Raw genomic sequence first — 13,748 nt, 5'->3', positions numbered from 1 at the left:
TGCCTAATACTCTGCAACAGCAGGCAAGGGGGATCTGAAAGGCAGCAGCCTTCTGCCTCCTTGCAGGAAATTATCTATTGGTTAATTAATTTCTTTATTAAAACGAACCACTCACACTGCTTCCATCCTAAATCCTCAGTGTCTCTCAAACCTCAGGCAACCCCTGTAGTTCAGGGAGACTACCCTGGTGGAGCTTCCTTGCCATTGCTTAGATGGTCTCTTAGGCTTCCAAAATCATAACATGAGAAATCCTTTGGTGAACAAAGGATGCTGAGTTCCCCAAATAGGAACTGGACCTCTTCCACCCCCTTGTGTGAAATTCACTGTTTGCCATCACTGTGTTATCTGGGGATATTTCTAGTGGTACAAATGACACTAGGTATAATAGTGAGAAAACATGTGCCAGGAGACAGAAGAGCTGGATTCTAGTCTGCTCTGAAACTCCCAGCTGTTTTACAGTGAGAAAATGATTTCATCTTTTTGGGCCTCAGTTGCTCAGCCTTAAAGTGGGGATAACAACTATTGGATTGTACATGCATGCCTAATGTTTGTGACAGCACATTGTTAATTATGGAGTGCTATACAAGGAGTGGGAATGAACAGAAAACAATGACCACCACTGTTTATTGAGCAACTACTAAACACTGTGACCTAAAACATTACATGCATAATCTCCATTCCTCATAACAAAGAACATGAAGAAAGAATCATGAAATAAGAATGGCAAAGGGAAAAATCTCTGGATACAACCAACTGTGACTCTATTAAGCAAGAACTTCATGAGCAATCCTAAGCGGGGGAAATTTTTTGAGGGAGGGTTGGTGAATCCTTTTTTGGAATTTCTAACTTTCATGAAGAACCTATTAAAGAGATGGTGACTATTCTAAATTGCGGTTTAAAATTCATTAACAAGGATTTACTGCGTGCTTAATGTGTGTGACCCAGAAGTGCATGCACATGTTACAATAAGTTTCTAAAGAAACCAGCCACTGAACGAATGTGAGAGCCTGTGCGTTACCTCACTAATTCTGGAAGACACTTTTCGTTGTTCGTTAAGGCTTCCTGTGGCCACAGAATAAACTTGCAAGCCTAGCACCTGAGGCTTCCATAATTGGCTGCTCCCTTCTCCCCTTCAGGCCTGTATCTTATATGGAAAGACTCAGCAGAGCACCTGTCTCCTTTTATCAGCTTAGTACAAGGAGGGCTGGTAACACACTTGTTTCCCAATTCACTTTTAAAAAATATTATTTCCCAATTCACTTTTTAAAATTATGTATTAGATGACACATTAGTGGGTGCAGCGCACCAGCATGGCACATGTATACATATGTAACTAACCTGCACAATGTGCACATGTACCCTAAAACTTAGAGTATAATAAAAAAAAAAAAAAATTATGTATTTCTTTTGTAAAGAAATACATAGCCATTTTCGGAAAACTGAAAAGCATAGAGATTCAGAAAACAGAAATCTTCTACAACCCTAGCACCTATAGACAACCCAGTTAATCTTTGCAACCATTTTTCAAGTGCTTTTTCCCACCTTGGAGTGCTTACATTTTTGTGTCTGATATCATGCAGGGAAGGAAATATTAACTAATATACATAATCATCTGTGGGGCCCTGCATAAATGCTGACCTTTTGGGAAGATTTCTCATGATCTACACTGCAAGATTTACCATCCTGCTCCATTTCCTTTAGAGAATGAAGTTATTTTAATTTTTCCTCATTATTCAAGTGTCAAACTTTATTTTCCATCTTTTAAGGCTATTATACATCTCTGATAATGTATAGCACAGAGCCACTTTTTAGTCTTTCAATCAATACTGTTTTTAAAATGACTTCTCTAGGTACTTAAAATAAATTGCTATGCCAATATCCCTTTGACAATAAGGAGTAGAGGGAAAATGTAAGACATTAAAGATAAAGGGACAAGCAACCTTTCCTTTTACTTGCTCACCAAGGGCATAGACAGCTATTGCCCATGCTGATAGAGAAATACCCTGGGTTGTGGGGAGGAGAACCAAGAAAAGGGCCCTTTTTACAGAATGGCTGTTTATTTGGGTGAAAGGAGCTTGTTTGAAAAGTTGACTTGATGACCAGGAGTTTATCTTACAGATATTATTTTTTAAAGTCAGTTTTATCAAGATATAATTTATATACATTAAAATTCACAGCTAGGTGTGGTGACTCACGCCTACAATCCCAGCACTTTGGGAGGCTGAGATGAGAGGATCCCTTGTAGCCAGGTGTTCAAGACCAGCCTGGGCAAAAAGACCAACCTGTCTCTACAAAAAAAATTAGCCAGGCATGGTGGCATGCACCCTATAGTCCCAGCTACTCCAGAGGCTGAGACAGAAGGATCGCTGGAGCCAGAAGTCTGAGGCTGCAATGAGCTGTGATCATGCCACTGCGCTCCAGCCTGGGCCACAGAGTGAGGCACTATCTCTAAAAAAATAAGAACTAAAAAAAAAAAATCAATGGAGTAAAAAAAAAAAAAAAGTTAGTGTGCCAATGGAAGAGGTTGACAACTGTGTATATATAGTTCCTAAGCTACCATGATTGCAGAAGCTATTTTAAGAAGCTATTTAGCCACCTCTGCTGCTCACCTTCTTCCTTTTCTAGCGTACCCTCATAGAATGAACATTTTTGAGACCGGTCCCCAGGTACCAAGAGCACTTCCAAGAAAGGAAAGGCTGTGAACTTGACTGACCTTACTTAATGTATACCATGGAGTACACAGAGTTCTTAAATCTAAGTGTTTAGCAGGACCCAGAAGTATCTTGCAGAACCATCTATCCAAAACAGAAATCCCTTTTATAACCACTGATTTAATACACTTTAATCACTTGTGATACAGGTTTAGAAAATTCCTCCCAAAGCATGGAGCCCAGAGTGGCACTGTGTTTTATTTAACAAGTTTGGTCCAGTTCTGGCGGTCCCTGGAGACTCATGAGAGGAAGGACTCTCCAGGATGGGGCTTGATGATTTTTCTAGGAATTAGCAAGTTAGAAAAATGGCTCCTCTGCAAATTTATGCCACTGAGCCTTAAGGAGAGATTAAATATGAGGCATTTAAAAACCCACTGAACCATGACTCTGATTTTGCAAATAAAAAACTTAAGGGACAGAGTGATTATATGAATTGCCTCAGAAAACATCGCTCTCTCTCTCCTGCTCTCTCTCTGGCCATGTGACTTGCCTGCTCCCACTTCACCTTCCGCCATGAGTAAAAGCTCCCTGCAACCTCCCCAAAAACCGAGCAGATGCCGGTGCCAGGCTTCCTACAACGGCCTGCAGAACTGTGAGCCAATTAAACCTCAAAGAAAAGAAAAGAAAGAAAAAGAAAAGAAAGGAGAAAGAAAACATAGCCATAACACAGTGTCAGAACAAAGGACTTAAACCCAGGTTTAAGACACCTGGCTAGATGCACTTTTCACCGTCTTGAATGTTTCTAACATTTTGCCATCCCCCCAAATTGGGAGCATTATTAAGGTTTAGGTTTCTCACTAAGTTGCTTTTCTTCCCTTCCAAATGTAGGGTCACTACTAGAGAAACTCTGTTAGGAGAATGGATGGGTGGGAGTGTGTGAAATAAAAGTAATATCCTACTGTCCCTGTTGACCCCTCCCCTCCCTATGGTGATCACTACTGATGAGGCATTCTGATGCAGTAAGCTTAAAGAAACTGGGCTGGGCTGGGCGTGGTGGCTCACGCCTGTAATCCCAGCACTTTGGGAGGCCGAGGCGGCCGGATCAGGAGGTCAGGAGATCGAGACTATCCTGACTAACACAGTGAAACCCCGTCTCTACTGAAAATACAAAAAAATTAGCGGGGCGTGGTGGCAGGCACCTGTAGTCCCAGCTACTTGGGAGGCGGAGGTAGGAGAACGGCGTGAACTCGGGAGGCAGAGCTTACAGTGAGCCGAGATTGCGCCACTGCACTGCGGCCTGGGCAACAGAGCGAGACTCCGTCTCCAAAAAAAAAAAAAAAAGAAAGAAACTGGGCTGGAATTTCCACCTATTATTTTTGTGCACTGTTTTACAGAGACTAAAAAGCCTGCAAATTTGACTACAAAGGCTCCCTGATTAGTGTGTGAATAGTATTTGCTAAGAACGTCTCTGCACTTTAATAAAATAGGTTTAATGTTGTACAAAGGGAGAAACAGATAATTGTGTGGATCTCCAGGGAGTTTTTTAGAGGACAGCTCTTTTTTATAAATGTGGTATCTTGTGATGAAAATGTGAAGGGAAAGACAGAGGGGCATGGAAGTAGCAGAGACATGAAGATGCTTAATGAACTGACCGGCACCCCGAGGTCTGAACCAATGTTCACATAGAGAACGTGGGAGTCAGTGTGGGGTAACATGGAGGGTACTGAATGCTGAGGCTGAAGGTCTGGCTTTGACTTTCAACTTTGCTGAGTGATCACGGATGAGTCATTTCCCCCCGGGCCTCAGTTTCCCCCTCTGTAAAGTGAGAGTGCTGAGATAAATGACTGCTTGATTCCTTTCTAGTTCTTTGTGCCAGTTCAAGAGGCCGATTGTAGTTTTATTCCTATCACTGCATCAGTGAGTTCCACAGCTCTGGGACTCTCTCAGTAGAGTGAAGTTTCAGCCCATATTCCAAAATGAAATGTACAAGGAAAGTGGATGAATATGCAGAAAAGCTCGAAGACCCCAGTTGGTTGGAAAGGGGATTTTAAGCTTTTCATTCTTGGGTGTCCATTTCCTGGCTTTCAGGATCACTCTCACTGTGACCTGACACTAGTGATTCTTTGACTCTAGCAGGACTTCCATCTACGGAGCTTACTGCCTTTTCTCCGGCCCTCAAAACCCTCATGCCCTCACGTGCTGCTTTACCAGGCCTGGAGTCCGTGGCCTATCATGGAACCACTCCCTTTAAACTCAGCAATCCTGCCTCTTTCTCCATCATACTGGCTGATAAAATCCCCAATCCTGGTCGGATCCAACTCTAAACCTATTCCGGAGCAACTACAGTGCAAAATAAACACACATCATGAAAGCTGGTCTCATTTAAAATTCACAGATATTAACTTCAAGTGGATCCTCAGTGCTATCCAGCTTTCCTTCCACATTTCCTGAGTCACCTTCTCATGATTTTCACACCTTCCCTTCTCAGACCTCTGATACCTCCTTTCTCCTCATCCTCATTCTCAGCTGGTGAGCTCGCTGCTTCTTTCACTATAAAAATGGCAGCAACAAGAAGAGAACGCCCATATTCTCCCATGACCAACTTACCTGCATCTGCATTTCTGTCTGCATAAGCTCTGCCTTCTCTTCCCTTGTGGTAAATGAACACTCCTGCCCCTGTCTTAGGGCAGCCCCTTCACTCGAGCAGCGGCTCTCATTTTCTTTCACTCACCAAAGGACTCGATTCTTGCAGTTTTTTCCTGGTCCTTTCTGGCATCATTAATTTTGTCTCCACCTTACTAAAGCAATGCCATTGGCATATAAACAACTAAAATATCTCCCATCTTAAAAAAATAAAAAGCAACAACAACAAAAATAAAACCTGTCCCTTGATTCTGCTTCCCTGTCCTGGCCAGTATCCTATTTTTCTGCTTTCCTTTATAGACAACTTGAAAGAGTTGCCTATCGTTGCTGTGTCCACTTCCTCTTCTTCAATTTTTCTTATATCCACTATAAATAGTTTCCCCCAGCGCCTTTCCTGCAACGACATTTGTCCAAGTCACCAGCAAATCCAACTTCCAGTTGGCCAAATCCAATGATCACTTCTCAGTCCTAATCTTATTTGACCCCTGTCTTGGTTTGCTGTGGCTGCTGTAACAAATTCCCACAAGCTGATGGCTTCAAACAATGTAAGTTTATTCTATAACAGTTCTAGAAGCTAGAGTTTGAAATCAGCTTCACTGAGCCAAAATCAAGGTGCCAGCAGAGCCATGCTCCTGCCAGAGGCTCTAGGGAAGAGTCCATTTCTTGCCTCTTCCAGCTTCTGATGGCTACTGGCATTCTTTGACTTCTGGCCAATTCACTCCAATCTCTGCTTCTGTGGTCACGTGGCCTTTTCCTTGCCTTTTGTCATCTCCCTCTGTCCTCTCTTATGAGGATACTTAGGACTGGATTTAGGCGCCCCCACCCCACCCCCCAGGATAATCTAGAATAACTGTTCCATATCCAGAGCTTTAACTTAATCACATCTGCAAACATCCTTTTTCCTTATAATTAACATTTATGGATTCTAAGGATTAGGACCCGATACTTTAGAGATTTATTCAGGCCACTACAACCTCCCAGCAGTATTTAACACAATGGATGGCTTCCTTTCTCTTAAACAATTTCTTCACTTGACTTCGGTGATCTGCTCTTTCTTATTTTACCAACCACAATTATTTTTATTTTATTAATTTATTTTAGAGACAGAGTCTCCCTCTGTCCCCCAGGCTGGAGTGCAGTGGTACAATTATGGCTAACTGCAGCCTTGACCTACTGGGCTCAAGTGATCCTCCCACCTCCCAAGTAGCGGGGACCACAGGTGAAAGCCACTACACCCAGCCCAGTCACAATTTTATTTCCTGTTTCTATGAGTTGTTTGACTATTTTAGATAACTCATAAAAGTGGAATCATACAGTATTTATCTTTTTCTGACTGGCTTATTTCACTTAGCGTAATGTCTTCAAGGTTCACCCATGCTGTAGCATGTGAGAGGATTTCCTTCTTTTTAGGGCTAATAATCCATTGTGCATATATACCATATTTTCTTTTCTTTTTTTTTTTTTTTTTTTTTTTTTTGAGACAGAGTCTTGCTCTGTTGCCCAGGCTGGAGTGCAGTGGTGTGATCTTGGCTCACTGCAAGCTCCACCTCCCCGGTTCATGCCATTCTCCTGCCTCAGCCTCCCAAGTAGCTGGGACTATAGGCGCCTGCTACCATGCCCAGCTAATTTTTTCTATTTTTTAGTAGAGACGGGGTTTCACCATGTTAGCCAGGATGGTCTCGATCTCCTGACCTCGTGATCCACCCACCTCGGCTTCCCAAAGTGCTGGGATTACAGGCGTGAGCCACCGCGCCCGGCCCACATTTTCTTTATTCATCCACTGATGGACATTTGGGTTGGTTCCACCTCCTGGCTATAGTGAACAGTGGTGCCGTGAACATGGCTATACAACTATCTCTTTGAGATCCTGCTTTCAATTCTTTTGATACATACCCAGAAGAGGCATTGCTGAATCATATGTTCTATTTTTAACTTTTTTGAGGAACCTCCATACTGTTTTCCAAAGCAGTTGAACCATTTTACGTTCTCACCAGCAGTTCCAATTTATCTACATCCTCACCAATACTTGGTATTTTTTTCTGTTTTTGGATTCTTGTCTTGCTTTCCTGTCATTTCTTTCTCAGTCTCTCTTCTTGGTTTGATTCATCTCCCTGATCCCCAGGTCTCAGAGTGTTTGCACTTTATTCTTGTATGTTGACACTCACCCACCTCAGTGATCTCATTCACTCTCATTGCTGTAAACACTCTTTCCTTGCTTACATCTCCCGATTTTGTATCTTAGTTACACATCCTGGCTCTCACCTCTAGGCCCATATATCCACTGCCTACTCACCCTCTCTATGTGAATGAGCGCCTCTCACTTGACATGTCCCAAACCAAACTCTTCTTTTCCAGACCTGCTCTTCTTACAGTCTTTCCCATATAGCAGTCAATGGCAGCTCAATTTCTTCTGATTGCTCAGATTAAAAACTTTGACAGTCTTCTTACTGCTTCCTTTTGCTTCACATCTCACCTCCAACCTACCAGCAAACCCCTGGACTCTTCCTTCAAAATATAATCAGAATCCAACCCCTTATCCTCGTTCTACTGCTATCACACTAGCCTGGCCACCTATATTTCTGTATTTCTTTTTCTCTCTCTTTCCTGTTCTTTTGTTTTTGTTTTTGAGACAGAGTCTTGCTCTATCACCCAGGTTGGAGTGCACTGGCATGATCTCAGCTCACTGAAACCTCCTGGGATCCCGGGCTCAAGCAATCCTCCCACCTCAGCCTCTCTAGCAGGTGGGACTATAGGCGCATGCCACCACCATGGGTTGGTGCCATCCTCGCACTAATGAGTAAGTTCTCACTCTGAGTTCAGGTGAGATCTGGTTGTTTAAAAGAGTGTGGGGCCTCCTCTCTGTCTTCTCTCTTCTCCTCTTTCTCTCTCTCTCTCTGATGGGCCTGCTCCCCCTTCACCTTCCACCATGATTGGAAGCTTCCTGAGCCCCTCACAAGAAGCAGATACTGGCACCATGCTTCCTTACAGCCTGCAGAACCATAAGCCAATTAAACCTCTTCTCTGTATAAATCACCCCCACTCATGTACTTCTTTACAGCAATGCAAGAATGGAACAACACAAGTGATACATTTAATAGTGAAAGGTCGCCTTCAAGGACTCATATTGTATCTTTCTGTTTTGGAGAGACACTTCTAAGGCAAACAAGAAACCGATTTTGCAGATGAAGAGACAATAGAGAGATCAGGTGACGTGACCAAGGTCAAAGATGATGACCAGGAAGCCGAGTTTTGTGTCTCTGAGAACAAGAGCTTGCACTAAGAAACCCTAGGAAACAAAGTCCTTTTTCACGCTAGTTATTTCCTGTGAAAATGACTAGTTTCCTCTGTAAAGTAGGGCCAAGGATAGAGCTCTCATCTGAAATCATTTTGCTTTGATAGTGAGTATGGATTAGTCAGGCTGCTGGTTACTATGTCCCTCCTCACCAAGAAATGTGGATGGGCCGGACAAGGCTTTTTTGTCACTGGAATAAAGCAAAGCTGATGCTACTAAGAGAAATTAGCATGTTCAGACTATATTTGCACAGTGCATTAACCAAATATGCCAAAAGCAGCACACACAAAGGAATTGGAAGACCAGCTCATGCCTGCTTAGGGCATCGTTTGCTTGGCTGAGAGTTATTCAGTGTCACATGGCTTGAGGCTAACATGAATGGGCCACCTTACAGAGAGGGAGTGGTGATTGGTACTCTGCATAGAAACATTATGGAATTTCTAGAGATAGATGTTTTTATTACCGGTGAACTTAAAATTAAGGTGATATATTTTCTTTTGGCTGACAGGGACAGATAATATCATCCTAGCAAATAGTTTTCTAGAGGCACTGAGCCTCCTATAAACATTTTCATTTATCTGTCTAACTGGCATCAGAGCAGCCTGCGCCACAACTGTTGCCAGCCTCTTCTCTCGACGCCAGCCTCATATTGTCCTTGTGTGTTCCACCCTACCAAGGGTAGAGGGATCAAGAAAGCTCCTGTGGCAAACGGATTCAGTTTTATTTCATCCTTAAAAAAATACTGTAATGTCATGAAAAATCAAGCCAAAACTGAGGAGGAAGGAGAGATAGGCATGACTTTTAGTTTTAACACTTGTCTATTCATTAACCCCACCCACCTCCAATCACTTTTGGCTCTGGGTACATACGGCTTATATTTATGACTAATGCCTGGTATTCTTTCTTTACCTTGGGCCTTGCTTGGAGGAGCAAATCCTGCTGGAGCTGCTAGAGGGTTCTGTGATTTATGGATACCCATTTCAGAAACCCTGTGTGTCCTGAAAGGCTGCTTAGTGCCTCTTGATTCTCAGCATCCTCGCATTCTTTTCACTTCTGCAGCAAATGTTAGATGAGTCATGCAGATATGAACTGCATCCACCATCGGGGGTAGATAGGAATGGGATGAACAGAAACAGTCCGTGGCCCCATTTCAGCAGCTATTTAAAATAGCTGGAAAGGAAACAACAAGCAGCACTGTATCTAAGCCAGGTTACTTGCTGGCTGGCCCTTTAACTGAGGTGACTCCTGATTAAGCAAATGAGTCTGATTCATTTTACAGAGGTCTAATTAATACTTTACCATTAGAGAGTCACTTCAAATTCCCAGGATTTGGTCCTACAAACCCAAAGATCAGTAACCTCGGTTGCTTGGGAAATACTTCTTATTCCTGAGCTTCACATATAGATAAACGACAGAACAGAATCTTTAATAAAAGTCTTTAAAAATGCTTAAAGTTATAGTTCGGTGAGAACAACGAAAGCACATCATTTATTATAGACTACGGCTTAGTTCTCACTAGTTCTTGTGATGGTATGGAGGCTAGAAAATGGCAAACACCCGGCCAGGCGCGGTGGCTCACGCCTGTAAATCACAGAACCCTCTAGGCAGCTCCAGCAGGATTTGCTCCTCCAAGGAAGGCCCAAGGTAAAGAAAGAATACCAGGCATTAGTCATAAATATAAGCCGTATGTACCCGGAGCCAAAAGTGATTGGAGGTGGGTGGGGTTAATGAATAGACAAGTGTTAAAACTAAAAGTCACGTCTCTCTCTCCTTCCTCCTCAGTTTTGGCTTGATTTTTCATGACATTACAGTGTTTTTTTAGGATGAGATAAAACTGAATCCGTTTGCCACAGGAGCTTCCTTGATCCCTCTATCCTTGGTAGGGTGGAACACACAAGGACGATATGAGGTTGGTGTTGAGAGAAGAGGCTGGCAACAGTTGTGGCGCAGGCTGCTCTGATGCCAGTTAGATAAATGAAAATGTTTATAGGAGGCTCAGTGCCTCTAGAAAACTATTTGCTGGGATGATATTATCTGTTCTTGTCAGCCAGAAGAAAATATATCACCTTAATTTTAAGTTCACCGGTAATAAAAACATGAAATTACAGGCGTGAGCCACCGCGCCTGTAATTTCCAGCACTTTGGGAGACCAGGTGGGTGGATCACGAGGTCAGGAGTTCGAGACCAGCTTGGCCAGCATGGTGAAACCCCGTCTCTACTAAAAATACAAAAAAATTAGCCGGGCGTGGTGTTGCACGCCTGTAATCCCAGCTATTGAGAGGCTGAGGCAGGAGAATTGCTTGATTCCAGGAGGTGGAGGTTGCAGTGAGCCACGATCTTGCCACTGCAGTCGAGCCTGGATGACGGAGCGAGACTCAGTCTCCAAAAAAAAAAAAAAAAAAAAAGAGAGAGAGAGAGAAAGGCAAATACCCAATTGAGACTTCAGAGGAGACTTGGTATTTCTAGGAAGTGTTTTGGGGTCATGACAAAAACCTCAGGATTCTAAGTACACAAGGGGATCAGCTCATGTTTTCTTCTCATTTGCCAAACAACAACAACAACAACAACAACAAACCACCAGAAGACTTTATTTTAAAAATTTTCAGCCTTCCTTTACATAACAGAGCACTGTTTCTAAACATCTAGGTAGCCTTATTTAATCTAACTGGGCAATTGAACAGAAATCCTGCCAGCCCTCTGGGCCTACTTTCTTTTCAAATCTCAGTGTCATCAAACGATTTCAGGCTTGCCTATTTAATGTACCAGGCAGTGCTTGGAGCTAGGGATAAAACAGGGAACCAGGCACAGCCCCTATTTTTAGGAAGCTTACACTCCAAAGGTAAAAACAGACCCATAAATAGGGAATTTCAACATGGTGTGATTTGTACTAAGATAGGAGAAAGCCCAGGGTATGGTGGAAACACCTAGAAGAGGCATTTTTTTGTTTTTCAGAGAGAAAGAAAATTTTAGTTTATAGTACTAATGTGAAATATAGCAATCTGTTATATTGAATAAGAATTTTTCTCCAGCTAATAAATACAAAGCTCAGTGCACTCCCTCAGTTAGCAAGGAAGTGATATAAATTGATTTTCGATCCTTGGCAATCTGATGAAGATAAACGGGAATCAGAATTTGAAGCAATGACATCAAGAACCAGACCTGCCTGACTTTTGAGGTCTCCTGTTATTTACTGTTATTCACCCAATGAGTCTTAATTGAAGTAGACCCACTGGCCAAATAACAGTAAATAACAGGAGACCTCAAAAGACCTGACTTTTGAGTAAATAACAGTAAATAACATGAGATCTTGACTTACAAAAGAAAACGTGAATTGGAAGAATTTTAGTACTACTAAATGAGAGAATGGGATCAGAGTAAAGAAGTGTGATGACTGTAATTCAAAATGACATCAGCTTCGGATAAGTAATAGAAATTTGATCCCAGACAAAACTATTTATCATGTTGCTGGACTGACTGTCCACTTAAATGAAATTATCTTACCAAATGGAACTGCTAATGGCGAGGAAAGACAAAACATTGTTGTAGGGCTTTCTCCTTAGTTCAGCTAAAAACGGGGTCCTTGTCACACAACCATGAAAAATTAGGCTTGCAGACACTTTGAAGGGTGAGAAGGACAGGGTGTGTTGGGTGGAAAGAAAAAAAAGGGAAACAGGGACCCTTAGCAAAGCCACAGTCCTGCTAAGACGCTTCCATTCTCACAGACTGAATCCCAGGTTCCACACCGGAAAAGGAAGAGGCCAGGCTCCTCCCCTCTGCAAAATGGCGCCAACTTCCTGAGGCTCCACCCCAGCGTGCACTCTGCCCAGTGCGCAGGCCGGTAGGGAGTCTCTTTATGCTTGGCTGTCTCAACATGAGAAGGCAAGTGCATGTATCAGTGGTCATTTTGGGTTTCTCACCACGTGCTGAGCACCAAAAAGGTGGCCTAGGTTCCTGGCCTTCCTACTCTGACTCCTGAAAAAAATTAGTCCAAAACTCATTCTACAGTCAGATATAAACTCTTTGTTTTTTCTTACACACGAGTCTACTTTTGTCCATAGTTTCTATGACTTGTTTAGAAGGGAAGAGATGGAATATTTGTGAAAGTTAAGATCTAAAATCTGCTTTTTGCTTTGTTCTTCATGACTTTTTTTCCCTAAATAAGCTTAAATGTGCCTTGGTGAAGCTTGGTGTTAGAAGCAAACATAAAGTCAAACTGATGATTTCAGAAGACTTCGGAAGACAGAAAAATGACATCATCAGATTGAGAACTTATTAAATACTGTTTCTTTAAAAATTAAAGTGGACAATTTTTTTAAAAATTGGACACTTTACCGTCTCAATGTCTCTAGAACTCTGTTTTCTCAGTCATTTGCTCAGCTTAAAAAAAAAAGAAAAAAGAAAGAAAGAAAAGAAAACAAATTAAACACAAAAACAACTGATCACTTCCTTGGAGCCTTTTTCTCTTTGGCCCTACTTCATCCTCACCTCTCCAAGTATATTTAAGACTTCAGGCCAGGTGCGGTGGCTCACACCTGTAATCCTAGCACTTAGGGAGGCAGAGGTTGGTGAATCACTTGAGGCCAGGAGTTTGGGACCAGCCTGGCCAACATGGTGAAACCCCATTTCTACTAAAAAAAAAAAAAATTACAAAAATTAGCCGGGCATAGTGGTGCATGCCTATAATCCCAGCTGCTCAGGAGGCTGAGGCAAGAGAGTCACTTGAACCTGGGAGGCGGAGGTTGCAGTAAGCTGAGATGATGCCACTGCACTCCAGCCTGGGTGATAGAGTGAGACCCTGTCTCAAAAAATAATATAAAAGAAAAGACTTCAATGTCAGGTCTTGCATAAGAGAATTTGAGGAGCAGGCCCTCAAGAAGGCAGTATCCTCCGATTTTCAGAGGAGCAGATTCTGAGCGCTTCCTAATTTGTGCACATTTTAATTATCTTTACCTACAATGGCTATACCATGGGTTGGGAAGAGGTTGGCCTCAAAGAGGCCCAGAATCTATTCAGGTCTATTGTCACCTGAATCCTCTGCCATATACTAAGTGGTCAAGTTACTTAAACATCCAGTCTCAGTTTTTCAACTGTAAAATGGGAACATTTTTGAAAAATTTTAACTGACATATATGTTATATTGTATATGTTAATTGTATTATGTG

The 13,748-nt window shown here is 42.4% G+C and overlaps 1 protein-coding gene across 15 annotated transcripts in view; it reads right to left on the bottom strand.

Moving 5' to 3' along the window:
- Positions 1-13,748, bottom strand: part of GNG2 (G protein subunit gamma 2) — a 143,622-nt gene that overhangs the window by 30,778 nt on the left and 99,096 nt on the right. The gene's annotated exons all lie outside the window — the stretch shown is intronic.

Source organism: Homo sapiens, chromosome 14 (genome assembly GCF_000001405.40).
Source record: "Homo sapiens chromosome 14, GRCh38.p14 Primary Assembly".
NCBI classification, from domain to species: Eukaryota; Metazoa; Chordata; class Mammalia; order Primates; family Hominidae; genus Homo; species Homo sapiens.
This window is presented reverse-complemented; position numbering and strand designations above follow the sequence as displayed.